Source organism: Homo sapiens, chromosome 13, assembly GCF_000001405.40.
Source record: "Homo sapiens chromosome 13, GRCh38.p14 Primary Assembly".
NCBI classification, from domain to species: domain Eukaryota; kingdom Metazoa; phylum Chordata; class Mammalia; order Primates; family Hominidae; genus Homo; species Homo sapiens.
In genome coordinates this window covers 71,673,405-71,700,474 of record NC_000013.11, presented here as the reverse complement: position 1 = coordinate 71,700,474, position 27,070 = coordinate 71,673,405, and the positions used below count along the sequence as shown (strand labels likewise).

General features: G+C 35.9%; 1 protein-coding gene and 1 pseudogene across 7 annotated transcripts in view; one reads left to right on the top strand and one right to left on the bottom strand.

Moving 5' to 3' along the window:
• Positions 1-27,070, top strand: part of DACH1 (dachshund family transcription factor 1) — a 429,239-nt gene that overhangs the window by 166,730 nt on the left and 235,439 nt on the right. For 6 of the 7 annotated variants that reach the window (NM_004392.7, NM_080760.6, NM_080759.6 and 3 more), the window contains exon 2: positions 18,565-18,680. In NM_004392.7, coding sequence (NP_004383.4) covers positions 18,565-18,680 — 116 coding nt within the window. Of the gene's footprint in view, positions 1-18,564; positions 18,681-25,416; positions 25,526-27,070 lie in introns of those variants that run through there. The other variant, XM_017020396.2, reaches the window with a different exon arrangement.
• Positions 25,004-25,408, bottom strand: H3P36 (H3 histone pseudogene 36; annotated as a pseudogene).

Below are 27,070 nucleotides of genomic sequence, written 5' to 3'. Positions count from 1 at the left end.
ATGTGATTCTCCTGCCTCAGCCTCTTGAGTAGCTGAGAATACAGCCGTGCGTCACCACCCCCGGCTAATTTTTGTGTTTTTAGTGGAGACGGGGTTTCACCGTGTTAGTCAGGCTGGTCTCGAACTCCTGACCTCGTGATCCGCCCAACTCGGACTCCCAAAGTGCTGGGATTATAGGCGTGAGCCACCATGCCTGGCCAGCTTGCTCTCTTAACAGCAGGGGTGGCTTCCTGTTTTTACTAAGATCAATTTTTTTCTTTGCCTTTTCTTATTTCCTGTTCTCAATGCATTTGCTAGCTCCATTGACTTCAGCATATATGGAGGATGCCAACGTGTGTCCAAACACTGTGTGTCTCGTGTGTGTGTGTGTGTGTGCACATGCATGCACGCACACACACTTTTCACAGACTTTCAGAATGAATTATCCTAAGTGGTCAAGCAAATAGTGACTAGAAAACAACAAAAAATAATTGGTAAAATTAAAACGTGTAATTAACTGTTTTAAGCAATTCAGACTCAGAAATGTAGTTAAATAAGAACAGGAGCATTGCTTTTAACATTTTTTTAATGAAAGTAAAAATATCCATTTTGACATAAAGTGAGACTATAGCAATTTCATATAGTTGGCTATAAAATATAGTTGGAAAAGCTGATACAAGTTTTGATATTTCTTTGTTAGTTATGCGTTCCTATAAATAAGACCAATATGCACACTCAAGGCATCCCTTCAAATATTTCTTCAAAGCTTATGAAAAGTTTTGTGTGAAGACTGAAAACAAGAGAAATTATTTGGATTGATGCAATAACATCTTGTCCAGCAAGATTCTCCATTCTTTTTTCATCGTGTTCACATTGACAGTTTATATACCAGGAAGGTTTTGTTCATAAACTACTCACCACACACCACCCATTCAAGGTAGAGTAAATCCTATCGGTGAACCCAATAAAAGAGTATAGTGCTTTTACTCCAAAGAGGCCATGCCTTCTGGGAAGATATACTACTCTTTGTCATTCAACCAGGGAAGCCTTGAGATTGAATAAAATTCATTGTTGAAGCCTAAAGAAGGAAAAGCTAGTTTTTGAAAAAGTCAGGCTAAATGTTACCAAAAAATGAAATACAATTTTAAAATTGACTGCTTGGAAGTGTAAGTAAAGAGGAGAGATTTTAAAATGTAGTTAGCAATCCTCGTGTCTATATTCATTTTTATCTTTTTTCCTTTAAGAAGTTTTTGACATAGTATTTTCTGGTAAAAATACTTCCTTGCAATTGTAGCTCCCCTTGGTATACAGGACTTTTGAAAGCTGAATTTGCCCTAAAGTATTTTAGTTTGTGAAAGACAAATAGCCAAGTTATATATAATTGTGAATAAAATCTACCGTTACAATCCTTATGTTCAGTCAGTTTAGAATGGATTTCTAATTATTTATTTTTTCTTTTTACATGCACTTCTAAAATAAAGGTCTTCTGTACATACACAGTTTACTTCTATCCAACATTTTCAGAGTATTAAATGTTTTAGTTTTCCCTGGTGTGTGAAAAATAATTGTTTTTTAATGGCACTAAATCTACCCCTGGATCCCCTAGTACCTTCCGTGTTTCTCTGATTTAAAAATAAATAAATAGAACACAAAATCTTGTTCACTGCCAGATATTTAAAGAATTTTAAAAACTAGTAAGAAAGTAAAGATTTAATAACATATTGCATCCACAAGAGGAAAATACTGATAGCCTATACAAAATATGATCATACTGTTGTCTAACCTGTTGTAACACATAAAAATCTACAATGGACAGGTTTTTGTATTTTTAAAATCTAGATTTCTATAATATATATTTTAATGACTTACTATAATTTCAGTCTAGTATACACCGTAATTTATTCAACCTAACACAATTATATGAGCCTTTAGGGTTTTATTTTTGCATATTCTCTCTCTCTCTCTCATTATTTCTTCAGAATGAATTTTTAGATTTATCAATATAAAAGTGTTGGTTTAAGTAGCATTCATATTTTAAATTTCAATACAGAGGACTAAACGTTCTTTGAGAAATATTATATTCTACCAGTGTCGTATCAGTATGTTTTAGCTTTGCCAGAGTGATGGCCAAAGTATGATATTTTATATTTGATTTGATTTTTAATTCCTTATGTGCTAGTGAAATTGTAAATCTTTTAATGTTTATTAACTAATTACATATGTGTATTATTTTTCTATTCATATGCATTTGCCATTTATTATTGGATTTTTCATTTGTTTTATTATTTACTTATTTATTTATCTATTTTTAAGACGGAGTCTCGCTCTGTCACCCAGGCTGGAGTGCAGTGGCGCGGCTCACTGTAACTTGCACCTCCCGGGTTTTAGCAATTTCCTGCAATAATTATCCGTCTTTTACATACACATTTTTCTTCTTTGTCGCTTTATTTCAGAATTAATTGTCTTAAAAATGTTTTTAATTTGTATGTGTATAATTCTATCAATCATTTACTCAGTACTTTCTGGCATTAATGTCATTCTTATAAAGTATTATTCCAAATATAGACTTTTTACTCATTTGTAATCTGTAATCTCCTTTTAAAATGCATAAAATCGGGCTCTATTTCAACTTTTCAAATAGCCAGCAAATTTTAACACCATTTTTAAAATTAATATAGCCTTCCAATGGTATTAAATGCATTATTTTAGGACTTTCATATATTACCATGAATATATAAGAAAGAATCTCTGAGTACAAAATGTGCTATTATAGTTTAAAGGTGGTTTATTTTTGATAATCTAGAACCCTGGACTAAATAATATAATTAAAAATTGACACTTCATTGTAAAAGTATAAATTAAAATTTAAGTACATGTGTCTAGATTTGTAAGCCATGTTTAAAAATTTACATATTTGGGCATAGACTACTTTGGTTGATAATTTCAAGCTCTATAGATTGCTATAAGTTGAAAAATTTATGGATGATTCTGTTTCCAACCACATCATTTTGAAGAGCTAAGATAAATCCAGAATATTCAGTGGGAGACAGGGTAATGCAAAGAAGGCACTAACTCAAAAGCCTTCCACTTTATCATCATTATCAAGTTGGCGCCATACACAACACTCTGACAAGTCGGAGTACCATCCTTTCAGGTCTTTAAATAACTGCTAAGACAATGTTGATTCAGATGGCCATAGATCAGCAATGTGTATCCATTCCTTCCTTCACCCAGTCATTCATTTTTTTTCATTTAATAAATATTTATCGAGTCCCTACTTTGTGCCAAACATTGCTCCTCTAAAATGGGGATATTCCAGTGAACAAAACATTCAAAATCTCTGCCCTCATGAAATATGCAAGACAGATAGTCACCAATAAACAAGTAGCTATGTGGTATTTCTGAACAACACTGAAGATAAAAACACAGTGAGGTGGGAGAAGGGAACTATTAAGTGGACCCAGTGCACTTTGCGTAGTGGTTGGGGAAGGTGAGACATGGGGATGTTTGACTGAAGAGCATTCTAAGCAGCAGCAACAGCAAGTGGAGACAGGAACATTCAATTCTTTTTAGAGATAATACGTATATTTTTAAATAGTAAATATATTCAGAGTCGTGGAATAGCAGTGCAGTCTTAAAAGTGAATTTCAGGCCGGGCACGGTGGCTCATGCCTGTAATCCCAGCATTTGAGAGGCTGAGGTGGGCGGATCACCTGTGGTTAGGAGTTCGAGATCAGCCTGACCAACATAGTGAATCCCTGTCTCTATTAAAAACACAAAATTAGTCGGGTGTGGTGGTGCATGCCTGTAATCCCTGCTATTCGGGAGGCTGAGGCAGGAGAATCACTTGAACCTGTGAGGCAGAGGTTGTAGTGAGCCAAGATTGTGCCATTGCACTCCAGCCTAGGCAACAAGAGTGAAATTCTGTCTCAAAAAAAAAAAAAAGTGAATTTGAAAAATTATCTAGATATGGCTATTTGCTTCTGATGTAAGTTACTTAAGGCTGAAACATTTTTATGATTAGCATGGCAATTTAGCATGGACTTTTGCACAGACAGGCCTGGTCCTACTTCTTTAGCAGTCTGTGATTTATTCAAGTTACTTATTCTCTCATAAGGAACCATTCCATTCATCTCTAAAATGGGCATAATGATGATAGTTATATCATAGAGTTATTGTGGAGATTAAATTATATAATGTGCATCAAAGTGTTCAGCATAATGTTAATTACACTGTAAATTCAGTTATTATTAGATCTCATGATTTCTTAAAATAATTTCAACATCCATTTTAGATTTGGGGGTACATGTGCAGGTGTGTCACATAGGAACACTGGGTGATGCTGAGGTTTGGGGTGAAGATGACCCCGTCACCCAGGCAATGAGTATAGCCCAGATTGGCATCCCTTAGCCCTTACGCCCCTCCCTAGATCTCATTGTTTTTCATCCCTATCTTGATAATTACAGCTAAATTAATTTTCATGCTAACCTCATAAAAACCTATTAAATTATGAGCACTGTACTTCACATACTATCACTTCCTAAGTATGAGTGTCATAGTAGATCACACATGGCCCATCTGTGAAGGCCCTATTTTAAACACTCAATATTTGCTTTGCCTTTTACAGTATGATCTGCAGTTGCCAAACTCAACCCTGTTGGTTGAGTTAGCCAAGGCTACTGAACAAACACAATTTGCTGCCCTCTGTAATGGACAGTGGAGGAGGGCTTTAGAAGAAACAAGCCTTGGTGATTATCTCAAAGGACTTGCAATATAGCTGGGAGTAGCATAAGAAACATAGTGAATTTACCGAAATGGCCTCACTGATTCTTTGCAGATGGAGCATTTGTTGAGGCCTGGACACACTCATCATTTCTGGTGAACTCCACATTTTTCTGCCTTGGAGCCCTTGACCATGTCATTTGAAAATCTTCAATGCATTCTTCTCACTTTCTCTCTGTTAGTTAAAATAATACTCACGCTTGAAGACTCATCTTAAATGCTTTTTTTGTCTTTAGGTTTTCTGAGAGTTTCTTCTCTTTTTCCTTTCTCTTTCTAAAGTCACTTAAAGCTTAGTGTCATAGCTATGTATTCTAACAATAAGAAGACGACTTTTGGAGAGAGGGTTATATTTTGCTGCCTTGTTTCTGCCATGGTATCTAGAATCGGCCTTTGCATGCCAGGGTCACCTAGCACATGTCTGTGCACTAATAATGTTGGAAAGAGAGGACGCATTTGAAGTGAGTCATCAGATCTAAGGTCCTGGACTGTAAGGGAAGTTTGACCAAGACTGAAGCCGTGTTTTAAATATTAGAAAATCCTCTAACAAGCAATGAAATTAAAAATTGACTGAAATATGGAATTCTGTCTTCTGTTTTAAGAAATCAAAATGTCATAGCTGTTGTCTTTTCTAGACTTCTCTCTAATGTAATGTTAGTTACAGGTTTAATCAAGAAACTATTTTTTTTCAATTTGAAATAATAAGAAAACTTATACTTTTATTCTCCATAATTCTATGCTTCAATGTATCTTTGCCTCAGTTTCCACACTTATAAAATGGAAATAGTATTTCCATCCCAGAAGTTTCTTGAATTAAGTGAAATAATATACATAAAGTGCTCAAAAGAATTCTAGTTCATACATTATGTAATTTCTAAATGTGAGCTATTATGCTTTAGCCAGTTTAAACAACGCTTTTAAGGCACTATGTTTTTAGTATTTTAAAATATGATTCAGCTATAAATAAATAAGGGAACATGGGAATTAGGATAATGATCAGGATTTTAAAAGCAGCCTCAGCCTAGTATTCCAGGAGAAAAAAATTCCATGGTAAAACAGTGTCTATTCAAGCTTGAAAGGACAGGTGCCAATGACTTCTCCAACTCTGTGGTTCCGGTAGTTTATATCTTAATTTCTTATAACATTGAACATTAGTATTAAAAGGTCATTTATTAAAGAAAATGCTTCATCAAGAATTAAATAAAATTCAATGAATGTAAATCATATTAACAGCAATGTTTGGTGCATAGGTAGGTATCATCTATGTCAGGTAATGAATTAAGCAGGTTATTAAATCTCTGCAGGCTGGAAACAGCCTTTGTCTATCTTAACATCACCTTTTCATTAGTTCATAGGCCTGGAATCCTCACGGGGGCATCAAAAAGTTGTCAGGAGGTCTCTGAATTCTGGAGTTGGTGTCTGAATTTGTGCTTCAGGATTACGTTTCTTGACAGCTCCTCATGCATTACACAGTGGAGGGGAATGGCGGATGTGTGTGTGCTTGTGTGTGTGTGTGTGTGTTTACAGGTTTCTCAAACAAATTAGTTATGTACATTTTCTCCAGAGGTGGCATACAAATAACTTGTCAGTGAAGGGTGAAAACATGCATTTTAGGTTGCGTCAGCCATCTTGCCTCTGCATTCATAAGTGGGAAGACAAGATTGTCTGAGTTCTGATTTAATAGGTTTTTTTACCCTCATTTGAGACTACATCTCTAAGGAGCAATCATTTAATACAAACAAAACTATTTTTCTACTTTTGTGATTTATATGTGAAGATGCTTATACAGTAATCCCCTTTACCCATGGGGGATATGTTCCAAGACCCCCCATGGTTGCTTGCAAGTGTGATAGTACCTAACCTTATATATGCTGTATTTTTTCTATACACCCATGCCTACCTAGGATAAAGTTTAACTTATAAAGTAGACATAGTAAGAGATGAACAACAAGAATAAAATAGAACAAGTATAACCATACACTGTAACAAAAGTTATATGAATGTGGCCTCTCTTTCTCTCATTCAGAGTTTCTTCTTGTACCATACTTATTTTCAGACAGCAGTTGACCACTGGTAACTGAACTCGAAAAGCAAAACCAGGCCGGGCGCGGTGGCTCACGCCTGTAATCCCAGCACTTTGGGAGGCCGAGGCGGGCGGATCACCAGGTCAGGAGATCGAGACCATCCTGGCTAACACAGTGAAACCCCGTCTCTACTAAAAATACAAAAAAAAAAAAAAAAAAAAAATTTGCCGGGCGTGGTGGTGAGCACCTATAGTCCCAGCTACTCGGGAGGCTGAGGCAGGAGAATGGCGTGAACCCAGGAGGCGGAGCTTGCAGTGAGCCGAGATCACACCACTGCACTCCAGCCTGGGCGACAGAGCGAGACTCTTGTCTCAAAAAAAAAAAAAAAAAAAAAAAGCAAAACAAATGGATAAGAGGGTATTATCATACCAGATTGTTGAATGTATGTGTGTGTGTATGTGGACTTACTTTACTAACTTTTAAAGTTACTTTACCAGTAATTTATGGTTATGGCTGCTTTATTTTATAAAGATTTATGCACACTCGCTGTAGTTTTTTCCTTCTTATTGCTGGTTTGCTATAATTTCTTTACAAAATGTGTCCTTCTTATATCAAAAATATGACAATAATTTTGATTAAGATTAAGATAATAAGTGATTACAGAAAAATGAGATAAAACCCAGTTGAGTAATGAATTTCCATCTTATGAATACAAATCCCTATTACAGTAAAGTATTGAAGGGGAGATGGATTCATTTTTGATTAGATTCAGATTTTGTCTATGTAGTTGATAATATAACACCAAATTGTGTTCTATTTAAATTCTTCTTAAATAAGGCATCACAAGAAAATACATTTAAAATAGGTGAACGGGCTGGGTGTGGTGGCTCACGCCTGTAATCCCAGCACTTTGGGAGGCTGAGATGGGCGGATCAAGAGGTCAGGAGTTCGAGACCAGCCTGGCCAATATGGTGAAACCCCGTCTCTACTAAAAATACAAAAATTAGCCGGGCATGGTGGTGCACGCCTGTAGTCCCAACTACTTCGGAGGCTGAGGCAGAAGAATCGCTTGAACCTGGGAGGCAGAGGTTGCGGTGAGCCAAGATTGCACCACTGCACTCCAGCCTGGGTGGTGACAGAGCAAGACTCCGTCAAAAAAAAAAAAAAAAAAAAAAAAAAAAAAAAAGGAAAGAAAAGAAAGAAAAAGAAAGGAAAGAAAGAAAGAAATAACACAGGCAAACAAATCATGATATCCTAAAGATGTTTGACTAATAATCAGTGCCTACCATCATATATCTAACACATTTCTCAAAGTCAGAAATATGCAGACAGTACAGACAGAGAAGATTTGACGTATAAAACTATTAGAGAATAATTATGTGCTGGACTGTGTGAGACTAACCATGCTAAGGATGGGGAAATGAAAACTATTTCAAGTTAGATAACTACCTGCTTTGTAAACCTTTCCCTTTGACCCAATTAAGCACCAAACATTGCTGTTAATATGATTTACATTTATTGAATTTTATTTAATACTTTATGAAGTGTTTTCTTTAATAAATGACCTTTTAATACTAATATTAGATGTTATAAGTACTCAAATTTGAGTACTTCAGCCTTCATTACAGAAGTGTATGTGTGTGTCTGTGTGTGTGTGTGTGTGTGTGTGTGTGTGTGTGTGTAATGGGGGGCTATGCCTCTATGGCTGTTTCGTTACTTAGCACCCCCTCCTCTCCTTCAGTTGACAAACTCCTGCTTGCTCATACCTCATCTTCCCTGAAGCACCCCCATGACTTTGTCCCAACAACCATGCTCTGCAACATTTACTACAGTATTTAACACGGTTTAGTGTAATTCTCTATGTATCGATGTATTTCCCAAAATAGACCATGAGCTACTTGAGGGAAGGTATAGTATTTTGTTGTTATTTCCACCACATATTAAAAGGTCAGGCACATGGACATGTTCAATTAATGTTTGTTGACTACATTAACATGCAAATCTGCTACAGTGGTAGTATTACACTGTGCTCAGGGCTTGGCATCTGAAGCCAGATTGCCATGGTTCACAACCTGACTCTATTACTTTTAATATGTGTGATATTAGGTAAGTCATTTTACTTTTACTTTCTGGGCTCAGGGCTTGGCATCTGAAGCCAGATTGCCATGGTTCACAACCTGACTCTATTACTTTTAATATGTGTGATATTAGGTAAGTCATTTTACTTTTACTTTCTGGTGTCTCAATGTCTCACCAAAAAAATAAGGATTGTAATAGTACTTATCTCAAAAGTTTGTCAAAGTATTAAAAGAGTTAGATCACATAGTGAATTTAGCACAATCCCTGGCAGTAGATAATATAATTGCAATTATTTCGTTATTTTATCTACTATTCAAAAATAAAACAAAAACATTTGGAAAAGCAGCCTTTAAAGTGTTGGAAATGGCATCTCCTACAAAGGAAAGTTGGATATTATTTTGAGATAGGAGCAATGGGTTCATATTGGGACCAAATTAACAATAACCTGAAGAAACAGAATGATGGTCGACCATTTCCACTGCAAGTTTATAAACAGGTTCTTCGCATATGCCATTGAAATGAAAGACCAAATGCATTGCTTTTGGCTCAAACAAAATATAGCCAATAGTAATTGCTGTGAATATCTTGTCATTTGAAATGTAAATTGAAAAATTACAAAAGGAAAACATTTTTATTTGTGATTATGGAGTTCATAGTTGGTGTAAAAAATTGGTTTAGATACTACTTGGGGTCTCACTTAGTCATCCAGGCTCGAGTGCAGTGGTTTGATCACAGCTCTGTGCCACCTCAAATTCCTGGGCTCAAGGGATCCTCTTGCCTCAGCCTCTTGAGTAGCTGGGACTACAGGCATGCACCACCATGCCCAGCTAATTTTTAAATTGTTTGTAGAGATGGGATCTCGCCATCTTGTCCAGGCTGGTCTTGAACTCCTGGGCTCAAGCAATCCTCCTGCCTTGGCTTCCCAAAGTGCTGAGATTATAGGCGTGAGCCACCGCACCTGGGCTTGGAATAGGTTTTAATATTAAATTTAAATTTTCTAGAATATTGTTGTGAGGTATGACAGGAGCTTTGAGAAAGAATCCAATATAGTATTAACGTTTTCCCAAACTTTAAGAAGGCCACTTACAATTGTTTCTAATTATTTCAGAATTTGTTCTTTAGGGGATTCTAGTAAGCTTTTGCACATAATTGTAAAAGAGAGGTGTTGTGGGTAGAATCATATGTGGCCTGGAAGACTTACGGGAAGAAAGGAAAACTGTAAGGTGATTAAAAGGTTAAAAATATTTAGCTTTCTAGACAAACATGCCACTAAATGAAATTTGCAAATGGTATTAACTCTGGGAGAAATCATATATGTAGATGCATAATGTATGCTATAGAAAGGTAAACATAAATAGTATTAAATTGTATATCTCTTTAAAACTTTAAGTTGCATTGAAAAGCATTTCAGTCTCACAAAATATTCCTCTGTATTTTTGTGAGTGTGGGAAAGTAATCTGTTTGATGCATTTACTTATCAAGTGGTAAGTGACTTGATTCACTTTATAAAGGGACATTTACCATGGATGTAAAGAATTCCAGTTGAGGCAAGAATATATCCATCTCCCTGATCTGATAAGGTTAGGCTCCAAAAATATATTCATTAAGTTAACATATCTTAAACTAAGTTTAATATAATACTTAATATATTCTAAGATTAGTATAACTAATATACATAATGGATTTTAAATATCTTCTTAACTTAGACCTTATGTATATTCTAAAAAAGGGGAAGAGGACTTAGAAGCTTTAGGGGCGAGGGCGAGGGCGAGATTATCCCAACTACCTACGACAGGAACTCTCTTTAGTATTTTAGGCTGTCATTAATTTTTAACACTTAATATACAAATGCTTAAGAGTGGCTTAGTTACATTCCAATGTGTTTTAATTCTTTCTTTGGGGGTAATTCCTTATTCAGTATGTAGTAGCTCCAACTGAGCTGGAGACTTCAGATATTTTGTCTTTGGCTTTTTAAACAGGTTTTATATTAAATAAATTTCTTGTACTATTTTGGTTGTATACAGTGTGACTTTTGAGGTCAGAGGCCACAATAATTTATCCTCACCAGAGTAGCTAATTTTAACTTCTGTTTATTTTTTGTTAACGATGCTTTTAGTTTACTGATATTAATTTTTTTGATAATGGTGAACTCTTGCATTTCCTCTGGTAGAGAGTAAAATGTTTCAAGTTAGATGATCACCTGCTTTGTAAACCTTTCCCTTTGACCCAATTATTTCTTACATTGCTCAGTATTCAACTTTTACAGAATTTGGTCAAATATGTATGCAGTAATATTAATAGATAATGGTAACCAAAATGATGAGGACATATTGGTGTGATGTAAGGGTAAAGCCCCCCATTCTGGCATCCGGTGGAATATGTGAATTGCTGTTTTCCTAACTTTTGGGGAATAATTCTCATGTGCCCTATGACATATAGAACATGGTTTGGTACTGTTGAGAGATGAGAAATTTTCATAATTCAAATGTAAATCATACCATTGATTATATCACATTTGTTTAGAGCACAAGTCTTTAAACAAACAACAAACAAACAAACTCACTAGCAATGGCAGGTTTCATGGTGAACTAAGTTTAGTAAATGCCTATGTTACCCCATTCTTGGAAATTTGTAATGCATATTAATATAGTGAAAACTCTGATAACTTGCCCCAGTAAACAAAATTAAAAACTTCAGGAATCTGTCAAGTTCTTCCACAAAACATACATATGCTTAGTAGTTTAATTTGAACACAGAATCTTTTAATTAAAATATACTTTAACTTTTTCCCCAGGGAACATTTGTATTTTGCATATTTGTGTATGTATTTATTCATTTGGTGTACTGAATTACCTGCCATGTTAATAGTTGAGAGAGTGCTTTTGTGCTTGTGAGCCAATAAGCTGAAAGTGTTCACAAGGTGTCCACTGGTGATATTTGTAAGCAGGTGCCCCATGGACCTCTGTATTTTGGTGAGTGTGGGAAAGTAATCTGTTTGATGCATTAGTTCATAGTCTGTTTGTACTGAGAAGTGCACATGACTGGGACACACAACTACACAGAGAACACTAAAAGTCCAAACAAATGTGGAACGTGAGAATGAAAATATGTTCACATTAGTCACCATTTTAAAAAGTGTATCCCTCAAAGCTTTACGAGCAATAGGAAAAAATTTGCATTAGAAGGGAAAATAATGTTAATCATATAGCTTCTGGATGATTTGGATTGTTGCCTCTCAGGAAACTGAAAAAAGGAAAAGTTCAACTAACAAGTTAACAACATCTTTCTAAGGGAAAACTATGCATTGATAAACTGAGGATTCCAAATCAGCCGCTTCTTTTGGCGAAATATTGATATACATACATTAATCTTAGGAAGTCCTTTATATCCTTTTGTGCTGTTGGGTCTATTTCCTGAGGTTTATTTAATCTAGACGATGTCAGTGATTATTTGTGCTTTTCATAGTTTATAGTTCTCACAAGGATAATATTTTTGTTTATAATCATCTGCTTTTTAGCAGATATTTTAGAACTCAAATGGAAAGGAAAGATTAAAAGGACAATTATATGTGGTTAATTATATGAGATAGAGGCAAACTTCAGGCACTAATAAAGTTTAGCTAGGGTCATGATTTGTCCACAATGAAGTCTCTGAAAAATATGATCCAAGTTGTTGAAGTCAAATTAGTTTTAAAAGTTTGTTTTATGTTGGGGTGCGGTGGCTCACACTGTAATTCCAATGCTTTGGGAGGCTGAAGCGGGTGGATAGCTTGAGCCCAGGAATTCGAGACCAGCCTGGGCAATATGGTGAAACTCGCTCTTTACAAAAAGTACAAAAATCACCTAGGCATAGTGGTGTGTGCCTGTAGTCCCAGCTACTCAGGAGGCTGAGCGGGGAGGATCACCTGAGCCCAAGGAGGTTGAGGACGCAGTGAGCTGTGATCACATCACGGCACTCCAACCTGAGCAACAGAGTGAGACCTTGTGTCAAAAAACAAAAATTTGTTTTTATGTTTTAAACATAATGTATGTTTATGACAGAGAAACGAAAATCTTCATATGTAAAAAAAAGTAACTCTCCATTCAGAGTTCAAAGATAAGCATTCAGTATTTTAGCATATTTCCTTTCAGTCTTTTTTTCTATGTATTTATTGCTTCCTTTACTTGATTTCTGTCTCATGTGCTCTGATACGCCCATATCTGCAGGTTTGTATCTTACTTTTTCATGTTACTTAGAAAGTAAGCATTCCTGTATGTTACCATAAACTTATAAACATGACTCTTCATGATTCCATAATGTTCAAGTGGCTATGCAAATCATTAAGCAAATTGTAACTTTCCCATCAGAAATAAATTATTTATATGTGTATATATATAAAATGTATAATATAAACATACATACATATATAAAGTTTACAAACCTCTTGGTTTTGTAGGAGCAGTTTCCTAGAAAAAAATATGCAGAATATAACCACAGAGTTGGAACTTTCCTTGCGTAAATAGATCGGAGAGGGCCAATGAACTCTTGCAGATCAGCAGAGCAAGTTGCTTTCACTCGTAAATGCTTGTTTGTGTCCCAGGATTAATCTCAGTGCTCATTTGCTGCCATGTATCCTTCTGCTGCACTTACCCCACAGATTATTTAATTTTATTGTCCTTCTTATAGAAGGGCTTGTGTCTTTATTATTGAAACCCTAATGTCTAGCCCTGTGCTTATATACAGTAGCTCTTTTCTCTTGAATAAATGAATGAATGAATGAATGGTTGAATGGAACTTTTCTTTCCTTTCTCCAGGCAGGTAGGATTTGGACTTAAAATTTCTGCTGGGCAGCTACTTTCACATTTTCCAATGTGTAGACACCACAGTTTTTGTTTTTGTTTTTCTGAATTTTATTTGTTTCTCTGCCCCAACTCTTAGAAAGAGAATTAAGCTTAATTTCTCAAAAACTACTGAAGAGATTAACAAAAGATGATGTCCACAAAGAAGATTGGATATTGAAAATTCTATAAAGTACTCTAACATCTCTTGCTCTTTTGCACTAAGCTTCTTATTAATTACTATCACTTTTGTTAAGTTCAATTTTGACTTCACCTTAAATAAAAACAATAAATGGACCTGGAAAAGTTAGTAAACATTATACAGTTGTAGGAGAGAGACTGAAATTAGCATGAGATTGATTTAGTGTTATAAACTAAGGAAAGAAGACCCCCCTGGCGATCTGTCTGTGTGTGGCGGGTTGGGAATGGGAGTGGGTGGGAAAGCTTTTTATTTAGAACTGCAGGAGAAAGTGTGCTTGGGTGAGTTCCCTAGTGTTTGGGATATTAAATGTGGATGTGGACATCTCTAAGCTATTGCTTTCCTCTTTTAATGCAGATGTTTGAAAATACTAAAGCCTGTACTAAGGCTAATGCATGAAGCTGGCAAAAACAATTACCAAAATCATAAATTGTGATTTTATTCAAGCTATTAAGTGTAATTATTTAAGTGAGGTCTTCCGTTTGATTAGAGCTAGGAGAGTTCAGCTTGCTCTAATCCTCTGGGATAGAAATGGGTCGCTCTTATAGAAAATGATGGGTTGATAGTGGCTACTATTGAGATAATTGAACATTCCAGAAGAAAATGCTTTTTTCATTGTTTCGCTTCCTCTTTTCAGTTAAGTTTTTGTTTTTCTAAGTATTTTCTTTTTAAGAATAACTTATTTCTAACAAAGATACAAAACACTTCTTAAAGAAATCCTGATTTAATCAAGTTTTCTAAGTTAGGTAGCTTGGTCAAGTCTACACCTTCTAGTAAATTGGTAGAGCCAGTATCACAGCTGGATCAATCCAGGCAATAAAATCTGTGATTTTGGCCAGAGTATTACTCATGTTCTCTTGGAGGTTCCCTAAAATGCCTTTGAAAGAAATTTAAATATTCAATTATTTTACAGTTATCTTCCCTGAAGTATTCAAATCCCCTAGGAGTTAATGACCAGGATTGCATAAGGATAAAATATCAAGCCTGTCAATAAGGGAACCTAACTGTAGGTTGTGAAGGGATAGAGAAAAGTCTTGTTAATAAATAAATTTTCCAACTTCTCCTCAGCCAAGAAGTTGGGAATAACTCCAACGAGAGGTTCATAGTTGTTGTCCTGTTCTTAGGCAAAAGAATAAGTGATTTACTTGTCCCTACAAGTATTTTCTTTCAGTCCCTTTCATTCTTCGCAAAGGCATCTCACCTAATTGAAAGTAGTCCCCAGTAGGGTGTTAGCTGATGGCTTTAGGGTGTTACCACCACCAAGAGTATTTGCATTTTAATGAAAGGTTTTAAAAGAACTTAAAGCTTAAAGACTGAAAGCAATAAATCTCTATTGGTGGAATTTGAGGCAATGTGATAGATTGGGCAGGAGATATCTGTGGTGAAAGGAGCCCACCGGGTCTATTCTAATCACAGCGTGAATTAAAGTGTTCCTACTTAGTAGCCTCACTTCTACTTCCAGAGTGAGGGCTGTGGGGACAATTCCTGTGGCCAGAATAATAAAGTACTCCTAAGTAGTTTGATTTTCTTTAAAATCAAAACAAGTTAAAGGGCTATACATTTCAAATCTTTTAACTTCCTTGTTCTTTCCCACTTTTTCTGTAGCATCTTGCTTGAGATTTCCCAAACCCTCTATTCTATTTTCTCTGGGCTTGAGAAGTATATTTAGCATTACGTTTCAAGTTAGAGTTTCAAACTCATTCTGTGCCTTACTTTTCATTTCTTGGAAACTTTATGACCCTGGAATTGATAAGGTAGTATACTTGAAGGATTTGGGAGAAATGGCTTTACGAATAGGGTTATTATTATTATTTTTATTATTTTACTACATAGAGTGAACCAGACACTGAGCTACATTTTAAGGACACACAGATATATTTTGTGCAATTTCTGTCAAGTAGCCTTGGGAGATAAGCAAATAATCCGATTATTGCAATCAGTGCAGGAAGAATTATAGGTTCCCCATGCTCTATCGTAGAGCACAGAAAAAATACTAACTAGAAGTGGTTGGTAAGAAGGATGATTAAAGTTTAGGCAGGTTTAGTCAGATAAAACAGGAATGAGGATTGGTTGGCATAGAAAAGGGCTTTGATGGCAAAGGAGGCAGCATCTTTAAAGACAGTGTAATAGGAGACCAGAGCCACTCAGGAAACTGTTAAGAAACTGAGTAGGGCCAAATATAAGCTATGAATGTAGGAATAAAGTGTTGAAATTGGAAAAGCCGTCAGGGACCAAATATTGAAATGGCTTTGATGCCATTTCAAGGATTGTGAATCCAGTAGGGAACCACTGATATCTTTAAGCAAATGGAAAGCAAGGTCAAATTTGCATTTTATAAAAATCCTTCTGGAATTAGCATGGAGAGTTGTTTAGACTCTGGACTCTAGACTCTGGAGTGGGACAAAATTGAATGTGTGTCTTGGAAGAGTTTGGAAAGCTGTAACCATGTATCAAGAAATGAGGGATTGATCTGGAAGGTAGGAGTGGGGATATAGAAGAGAAAATAGATTAGAAAGGTAACCTCAGAAAGATAATATTTGAGTATATAAAAGAAGGAAAAGACACAAGTGACTCCTGGATTTTTGGCTTAGTCGGTTGGATTCCATTTCGCTGAACCAGGGGAAAGCAAAATAGGTATTAATGGGATAGATGCTGAGTTCAGATTTAGACAAGCTGAGTCTTAGATTATTATAGAACATCCGAGCAGAGATTTCCAGCACATAAGCATTCATCTGTCTGAATCCCAGGAGAAAGATATGGGCTATAGATATATATTTAGCCCTTAGCCCTTAGCATCTAAGTGATGCTAATAGAAGAGATCACTCAAGGAAAATGGATACTATCAGAGGGCTGTTGATTGACCACAGACAACTAAACAAGAGTTAAAAAGCCAACTGAGAATGAGCAGCAATCATGAGAAAGTAATAATAAGAGGAAGTAGCTTGAGGGATACTTCAAGAACAATAAGCACGACAATATCCCTATGGGTTAAGAAAACACAAAGACAAGCAAACAGTCTTGCTCGTTTTCCAACATCCTCCAGGATCTAGCCCTAGGCAATAACTCTGAAAGTCTCAATCACTGCTCCTCTTCCTATTTGACTTGTTTCAGCTCATTTGAAACAATCCTGTATATCCATACATTTTTCATGGTTTCATTTATTTCTCACATTCTCACTGGAGTGTAATTTTCTTTTATTCTTTTCTTCTCCATGGTTAATTCTTCTTCAGAATTGTCTTCTAATGTTCCCGCTGCCTTCTTCCTTCCTATGACATGGTAGTATCATCATCCATCCTAACTTCCAATTAGTATTCAGATTGCAACTTTCTTATGGGATTTAGCACTTTACAATTTGCATCATAGTTGTTTATGCACCAGATTCTTCCCCTTTGGCAAGAATACAAACTTCTGAAGTCTAAGAACCCGTTCTCCTAAATTAGCCTCCATAGTGCACCTCTTTGAAAACAGCAGGTACTTAATAATTATTTGCTCAATGACCACAAACATTACCTACCTAAATTAAATAGATAACATCTTTGAATCTTCTGATAAGTCTAGGGATCTCAGCCAAGGCAAAACATGAAAATGCTTATTTATGAGGTTATATCTGTTAGTTTTGAAATATCTAGGCACGTTTTGGCCAAATAAATGATGGGAGAGCATTTCATAAAGCACATTTATGATACAGAGGCAGAAAGTGAAAACACAATGCTAAAACTTTGTTTTCAAAAATTGTAATATTATATACTTTAGGTTGTTTTCCATTAATGATTGCCAATAGCTGTCTCTACCTCTGCTTATAACTGTAATAATTAATCTTGTGCAATAGGCATGTAAAGTACAGTACTGCTAAAACACAAGGTATTTTTATTTATCCTAAAGGTACATATGAGATGCTACACTGGCAGTTCCTTAATGATACCCTACAAATAATCCTAAGCCTTTCAAGTATATTTTAGTATATTAAAAGTAAGGGAACTTAGTGGGGGATGTTCACTTAAATAGAATAAGGGTTAAATGATAACTTGACTTATCTTTTAAATGACAAAAAATAAAGAAATTGCAAGACCTTTTCACACATTAGATATGTATTGTCATTTATCATCTAGATATCAGGCTAGCAGTGCGAAGTAATAAAACATATCATCGAAAAATGTGCTATAGGTCTGAATCACTCTTTCATTCCACCTCCCAGCTAACTGTAGTATTAAATCAAACAAGCAGAACATTTCCTTAGGCAGCCATTGCCTTTTAATTTCCTGAAGAACCTTAAAATATCATTCATTACAAGTACTACACATATTTGGTTTTTAAAACTCTCATAAATCAATAGCAGGCTGACTGTAATAATTATTACAAGTTAGTGCATAATTTTCGTGCTGAAGGCTGCATGCAGAACTTTAGCATATGCAAACGAGGCAATTCAAACTGTGTATAGATATTAATATGAAGAAGCAGGTAACGAGGTGCAGGCTATGAATTATGCATCAGGAGTGGCTGATCTTCAATGAGGAAAATGAATTCAGCATGTAATCTAATTAGTGATGGAAGTCTATTACATCTAACTGCAAAAGCAACCGTCCTTGAAACAAATTTATTTACAGTCCATGTTACCACTTGAAACAACTTTGAAATGATGTGTAAGACAATAGCTTAATTGTAAAAATTTTTTGTTTGTTTGTTTCAGTTCTAGACCTGGAAGGCCTCCTAAGAGGACTCAAAGTGTCACCTCCCCAGAGAACTCTCACATCATGCCGCATTCTGTCCCTGGTCTCATGTCTCCTGGGATAATTCCACCAACAGGTAAGACTGCTACTCACTTATGCCAAAAAATATTAAAAATCAGCCAATGTCGTAGCTTTTATATATATCTGTGGTGACATCGATATTTACACACATCAATTATATTTTGTGCACACTAAGATAATGTTACTGAGATAATTTATTTCAAAACTGCATTATGATTACCATCTTTTCTTTATTTAAAATAAAATAAAAGCTGAACTGAGCACAGTGCTAGAAATTATTTTAATTAATCCTACCACAAATATCAAACATCAAATTATTATTCCTATTTTCTTATTAAGGAATCAAAGTTCAGAGAAAATCAGTGACTTTCTCAAGGTCACTCAGCTGTAGCTGTCAGTGGTTATTCAAACCCAAGTCTTTGGATTTTAAACTTGTTTAGCATTCCAGAAATTGATAGACATGCATCCAAACAAAAGACAGTAACTGTATTGAATAGAAATGTCTCGTAATTTTTCACAAACTAATACGTTTCTATTAGAACCCATTTGAAAGATGTTTATTTCTAGAATTTTGAAAATGTATAAGTAAAAGAATAGTCTTGACTTCATAAGCTCCATACCATAAAGAAATTTCATAATGCACTGGAGCAAAATTAATTCGTTTGATTTCTACCCCCTGAATGGGTTCATTAATTAGATTATTTACATAAACATATGTTTGCCCATCTTTATTGTTTCATCAGGAAATGAGCCAGATCCATGAGCAAATTGAAATATTGCTGATATTATTATATAATATAGAATATTTATATTAATGTTTTTTCTTTATCATATGTCTATTAAGGAAATATACATAGGAACATATAAATGTCATGTATTATAATACAGCTGATACAAGAAAGGTAATCAGGCAAGATGAGAGTTTTTCTTTTTTCTCTAAATTCCTGTATCAGTATTGTATTTTTCTTTGTAACATTTGTCTTTCTGTGTGCTCTGATATAATCATGGATTAATCTTATTTCATATGTCATAATTGGGTGGAAGTTTCTTGACATCAATGACTGTCTCTAACTCATCTTCATTTTTGCAGTAATGTCTAAACAGTTCATTCACCTTTGTGGATATTTAACAAAAATCATTGAGTTTAATTTGTAGCTATTTCGGCTATTTGTTCATTTTATATATTTAATATTTTTTTCAGCAAGGCCTCAATAATTTTAATTTTAATTTTAATTTTTGTTTTTAAGACAAAGAGTCTCCCTCTATTACCTGGGCTGTAATGCAGTCGCTCAGTCGTGGCTCACTGCAGCCTGGACCTCCTGAGCTCAAGAGATCCTCCCACCTCAGCCTTCTGAGTAGCTATAACTACAGGCACAGGCCACCATGCCTGGCTAATTTTTGTATTTTTTTTCTAGAGATGGGGTTTCTTCATGTTGCCCTGTCTGGTCTTGAACACTTGGACTCAAGTGACCCATCTGCCTTGGCCTTCCAAAGTTCCTGGATTACGGGCATGAGCCACCATACCCAGCCACCAAAGGTTTTTAATAGTAAATAATTGAAAATTCCATGAAAATATTTTTATACTAATTTCATGCATGAAAAATTGAGATATAGAAAAATGAAATCAATAGCTGAAAACTGCCCAATTTCAAGGCAACTATCGTCATTTTACTTTATTTAATCATGTTTTTCAAGTAACTGAATCCTACTGCCTGATATTCTAATTCCAATTTGAGATTTGGAAAAATCAAATAGGTAGTACGTTGTTAATCCTTGCTCATTTATGTTTAACTGAATGATAAAGATTTCTGTTTAGAAAATTTGGGACTTGGGAATTACATAGGAAAATCTTTTATACTACATATGAAAATCTTAACTTCTCTTTTCCGTTTTTTTTTTTTTTTTTTTGAGACGGAGTCTCGCTCTGTCACCAGGCTGGAGTGCAGTGGCGCGATCTTGGCTGCCTTAGCCTCTGGAGTAGGTGGGATCACGGGCATGTGCCACTACGCCCGAATTTTTTTTGTATTTTAGTAGAGACGGAGTTTCACCATGTTGGCCAGGATGGTCTCGATCTCCTGACCTCATGATCCATCCGCCTCGGCCTCCCAAAGTGCTGGGATTATAGGCGTGAGCCACTGCGCCTGGCCAACTTTTCATGTTTTATAGCTGAAAGACTCAAGTGTGAAATAAAAAAGACCTCAGAGTCTTTGTGACATAATTAATCTCTCAATGAACCATGTTTCTGATGTTTTTTTTTTAAATAACCATTTTAATAATCATTTTTTCTGTATTTAGTAAACTTGTGTTGACTCTGAATTGTTACTTTCTCACAGTTATAAGAGAAAAAATGTATCCTAGATTGTATTCATATTATAATAGGGAAGATTTGTCTGCCCATATTTAATCTTTTAAGATGAAGATGATACATAGTTCATTACCAAAGTAATGATTAAATAAGATGATACCATGAAAATGTAAATAGCAACACCTCACATAATTAACACCATCAAGTAACTTTCGGGTAAGTAAGTGGAGTTTCTAAATAAAGGAAGGTCATATTCCAAAGTCCCAACTCAAAATATTAAATTATTTTTTGAAAGAACTCTTTCTGAAATGTATTATGCACTTGCCGGCTTGGTGAACAGAGACACCGAAGATACTTTAAATTTGGTCTTTCATTTTTAAAGTACGATCATTTTCTGTATTTCAATCACTGTGCCTTCTCAGACATTCTACTTTTGTTCTTTCCTATATGTTTTGAACCCAGAAACCAGGACTTCTGTCAAGCTAAGCATTATATCGAAAAAAGACCTTAAACAGCCATGTTCTAAAGAAGAATGAGGAAATGGAGGCTCATTAGGAGCATAAACTGGATTAGAAAGGGGATGTTAGGCTGGGCCCGGGGTTCAGGCCTACAATCCCAGCACTTGGAGAGCCTGAGGCAGGAGGATTGCTTGAAGCTAGGAGTTCCAGACCAGCCTGGGCAACATAGCAAGGTTTAGTCTCTACCAAAAATCAAAACAATTTGGCTGTGTGTGGTGGCCTGTGCCTGTAGTCCCAGCTACTGGGGTGGTTGAGGCAGGAGGATCACTTGAACCTGGGAGATCCAGGTTTGTGGTGAGCTATGATTGTACCACTGCATTCAAGCCTGGGCAACAGAAAGAGACCCTGTCTGAAAGAAAAAAAAGAAAGAAGGAAAGAGAGAGAAAGGAAGAAAAAAAGAAGGAAGGAAGGAAGAAGGGAGGGAGGGAGGGAGGCAGGGAGCGAGTTAGTTTAGTGCCCTGTAGACCTCAGCAAACTGCTTTAGAACAGGGTGTGTGAGCCAGCTCACTACTATTTTGCTTACTTTCAACTTTCAAACATTAGTCCAAAGATTTTAGGTTGCCAGAAGTTTGACTATTGCACATGAATGGCGTTACCTTCATATATTCAGTATGATTTCTCTTTTTATGTAAAATTTTTCTAGATGCAGAAGTTTAGATTTTAGGGAATACAGAGTAATGCCTTCATATACTGGGGAACATATCTTTACTGTCTTAAAACATTAACTGGAAATCTAATGATCCTAAATACATTTTATAATTCTCAAGAAGTATATAACATCTTTCTCCCACAACAGTCTACCGAATGCTTTAGTGTATTTGGGGAATATGACTAAATATGATCATATAGACTTTTAAATTTGCAGGACTTTATTTATGTACTTTTGTATTCTGAGAAGTAACATTTGAAAACGATAAAAAGATGTAAATATATCTTCAAGGTTGCCTAACTTTGTCCTGTGAAAAGAAAATGGATTAATTTAGACAAATTTATAAATACCTATTGATCGGCTAGGGGGCGGTGGCTGATGCCTGTAATCTCAGCACTTTGGGAGGCTGAGACAGGCGGATCATGAGGTCAAGAGATCTAGACCATCCTGGCCAACATGGTGAAACCCCATCTCTACTAAAAATACAAAAATTAGCTGGACATGGTGGTGGGCGCCTGTAATCCCAAGTATTTGGGATGCTGAGGCAGGAGAATCGCTTGAACTCGGGAGGCAAAGTTTGCAGTGAGCCGAGATCGCACCACTGCACTCCAGCCTGACAACAGAGTGAGACTCTGTCTCAAAAACAAAACAAAACAAAAAACCAAACAAACAACACCTATTGATTCAGTCCTAATCACTTTTATTGTTTCTTTTCAAGAATTGAACATTGGAGTTAAATAATAGTTTTCCCTGGATGCATTTGTTTTCTTAGGAAAAAAAAGACTTTTTTTAAAAAAAATGTATTTTCCCAGTCTTAATATTAAGTATTTAGGTATCTATACTTGAAACAAAAACAAAAACAAATACAAAACAAAACAACAAACTTTGAGATTGCTTGTGGAATTTTTATGTGTTATTTTGGCTGCTTGAGTGGGCTTGTGTGTAACCTTAGAAGGGGTGTGGGCAGATGGTGATAATTTCTAAAAGTTATGGTTGTCACCGGATGCCATAGCAACCAGAAGTTGAAGTTAATGAAAGAAAGAAAGTTCTTTGTAGAGTCACACAAGGCAATACCTCCTGCTGTGGTCACTGCATTTATTTTGACTGAGCACTTGTCATAAATCATTTTTGATAATAACTACCAGTTTGAAATAATTCATCCTAGCAACAGACTTCCAATAACATTCATACTTTTTATAAGATGACGTCTATTTAAAATTAAGAAAGGGGTTATTTAGGAATTCAAAATACTCCCCTCTTGTCCAGGAATGCAATTTGGATAGTGTATTTGCCAACTTTCTGATTTCATCTTTAAGTCAGTATGCAAATTAATTTTGAAATACAATTTTCATAAAAATACTAAGAATTAATTGAGTCCTCAGTATTTGCCTTTGACATATAAAAATTATTTAGTATCTTAAAAATACACTCAAATTAAATGAATGAATGATTTGTAGTTTTGTCTGTTGGATATGTCTTTTCCCTCACTGTGATCTTGTAGACATATAACTAATACGTATTCAGGTAAAGAAAGCAATTCTACACACATACCTTATGCTTAAAAGGTAAGAATTTATAACTTGCAAATTTATCGTTTTGGAAAAAATACTGGACCGGGGCAATATTAATCTAGAATTAATCCCATTGAAACATTCTTATCTTTAAAAAAATTTAGAGAAAAATGTTCTCATGTAGTGAATTCATAAACATATTTCAAATTTAATTTTCTTTTTTTCTACTAAATAGTAAACAGCAACAATATCTAAACAACCTCTTTTGTAATATTAGCATTTGTAATAGTTTAAATGCATTAAACATTTCAACTTCTCAGGAGAAAATTTACAATGTAAAACTGTGCCTAGGCTGGGCACGTGGCTCATGCCTGTAATCCCAGAAATTTGGGGGGCCGAGGCGGGTGGATCACCTGAGGTCAGGAGTTCGAGACCAGCCTGGCCAACATGGTGAAACCCCATCTCTACTAAAAATACAAAAATTAGCTGGGCATGGTGGCAGGTGCCTGTAATTCCAGCTACTCGGGAGGCTGAGGCAGGAGAATCGCCTGAACTCGGAAAGAGGAGGTTACAGTGAGCCAAGATCACACCATTGCACTCAAGTCTGGACAAGAGAACAACACTCCATCTCAACAAAAAAAAAATTGTGCCTTGTATGTTGAGAAGTTTATTATAATAAATGCTCTGTATTTCATTGGGATACTCACAAGTAAGGAGAACACAAAAATGCACAAGTATAAAACAGCCGCAAATTGTTGGATTGTCTTCACTAATAAATTAAACATAACAATCTACTGTATGCCTTACCCAAAGAATAAATCTCATATTTACTATTTAAACACTTGATGTTTATACAATGTTTGTATTTTTTTTATAGTTTAATGTATTTTAATAGCAAACTTACAGGAACAGCACAGAAGACAGACAACATTAAAAACATGTACTTGCATGTAGTACAACTCAGAAAAGTATAGTGAATGGATGGAATCTACTGTATGATAAAAATGCTACAAACACCATTTAGTTGCCGTCAATAAGAAGTTTACTTGTTTTAAAAAAATCCAAATGCTGGCATTGTCCAGAAAAATTTAACAGGTTTATTTATGATTATTATAAAGTTGAACCGCTGAAACTTGTTCACTGAAACATTTTAACTTGCATTAATGCTTTACGTCTCCACATTTATATTAAAAATTCACACACAAATGAAAACGGAAAAACTGCCAATACCTGATTTCTGTCCCCTATTTTTCCACTCGCAATCATAGACTTAGGTACCTTTTGACCCCATGGAAAAAAAATATCTAACGTTCAGAACTACCAATAACAGGAAGAAGAGAAAAAAAAAAATTTTTTTTTTGAGAATGAAATGTTTCCCATCATAGTGGATTCTTAAGCACGTTCTCCACGTATGCGGCGTGCTAGCTGGATGTCTTTTGGCATAATTGTTACACGTTTGGCATGGATAGCACACAGGTTGGTGTCTTCAAAAAGGCCAACCAGATAGGCCTCACTTGCCTCCTGCAAAGCACCGATAGCTGCGCTCTGGAAGCGCAGATCTGTTTTAAAGTACTGAGCAATTTCTCGCACCAGACTCTGGAAGGGAAGTCTGCGAATCAGAAGTTCAGTGGACTTCTGATAACGTCTAACTTCACGGAGCGCCACAGTACCAGGCCTGTTACGATGAGGTTTCTTCACCCCTCCAGTAGAGGGCGCACTCTTGCGAGCGGCTTTTGTAGCCAGTTACTTCCTGGGTGCTTTACCACCGGTCGATTTGCGGGCAGTCTGCTTTGTACGAGCCGTGGTACAGAGACCTCCTTACTTACCCCCCTTCTCTTCGGCTGGAGCTCGGCGAGCGAGAGGCGGCGCTGGCGTTGGAGAGCGACGGCAGCGCGGTGGCGGCTGCGAACACCGTTTGTATGTGTTTTCATATATTTATATATCTAGGAAATATTTGAGAGGTTTGATACTAGACATTTTGTTGAGGATAGCACATTTAACCTATAACTACTTAGTACATGTTCCCTTTGTACTTTTCTTGAAGAGAAAAATTAAAGGGTATGTCTTCTTTTTTTTTTCCTTTTTGTAAGGCCCACCTAAACTTTAGACTTCATCATGCAATTTATTAGTTTCCTGTGCCTGCCGTAACAAATTACCACAAGCTTAGTGGCAAAACCACAATTTATACTTGCAGAGTTATGGAGGTTGCGAGTCCAAAATCAGCATCACTGGGCTGAAATCATGGTGTCAGCAGGGTACCCCCTCTGGAGGCTCTAGGGGAGAATCCAGTCCTTTCCTCTTTGAGCTTCTGGGAGCTGCAGGCATTTCTTGGTTTTGTGGCTGCCTGGCTCCAATTTCTGACTCTGTGGTAATGTCGCCTTCGTGTGTGTGTGTGTGTGTGTGTGTGTGTGTGTGTGTGTGTGTGTAAAATCTCCCTCTGACTCTCTTTTAAGGACACTTGTGATTGTATTTAGGCTACATTAGATAATACAGGATAATCTGTCTTAAGATCCTTAATATAATCACATCTACAAATAATTTTTTTAAATATATAAAGTAGCATTCACACATTTCCTGGATTAGGACATGGGCTTAATTTTGGAGGCCATTGGCAGCCTACGACATCCAGCAAGTCACTAGGCTAAGTATTATGAGAAGTCCAGGTGGGGTATGGTAGATATGCACACAGAAGATTTTGGCCTATTTTATTCACTTTGGTATCACTGGTGTGTAGAATATTGCCTGGCACAGAGCAGATATTCAAACTAAATATTTGTTCAATGAATATGGCTAATAAATGTTTAGTAAAGGATTTCTGAGAGAAATTATTATGCCTTACAATTACAAATTTAAACACTGGTGTGTTAATGTAGCTTCTAAAATCCCATTAAGCACAGTTAGGCTCCAGATTAAAGATGCAGCGTGTAGAGCCTAATGGAAGTATACTAAGTGTATGGAAGGCATTATTTGTTTGTTTATAGGTTATGATGGTTACATTTAAGCATAATCATCAATTGATGGAATTTAAATCTCTAAATTGATGCTCTAGAGAAGTGACATTTATAGAAATAACATAGTAGCATGGAACATATTACTCTTTTTTTATTATTATACTTTAAGTTCTGGGGTACATGTGCAGAACGTGCCGGTTTGTTACATAGGTATACACGTGCCATGGTGGTTTGCTGCACCCATTAACCTGTCATCTACATTAGGTATTTCTCCTAATGCATTCTCTCCCCCAGCCCCACACCCCCCAACAGGCACCGGTGTGTGGTGTCCCCCACCCACCCCGTGTCCATGGGAACATATTACTCTTTACAATTCCTGCATATACAGGTATATATAACTACATTTGTACTATATTATATAATCCTTTAAGATTAGAATTTTCATTGTACCTCCAGTATCTTGATATATAATTTAATACATATAAATAAAATATATTTCTTAAGTTAACTG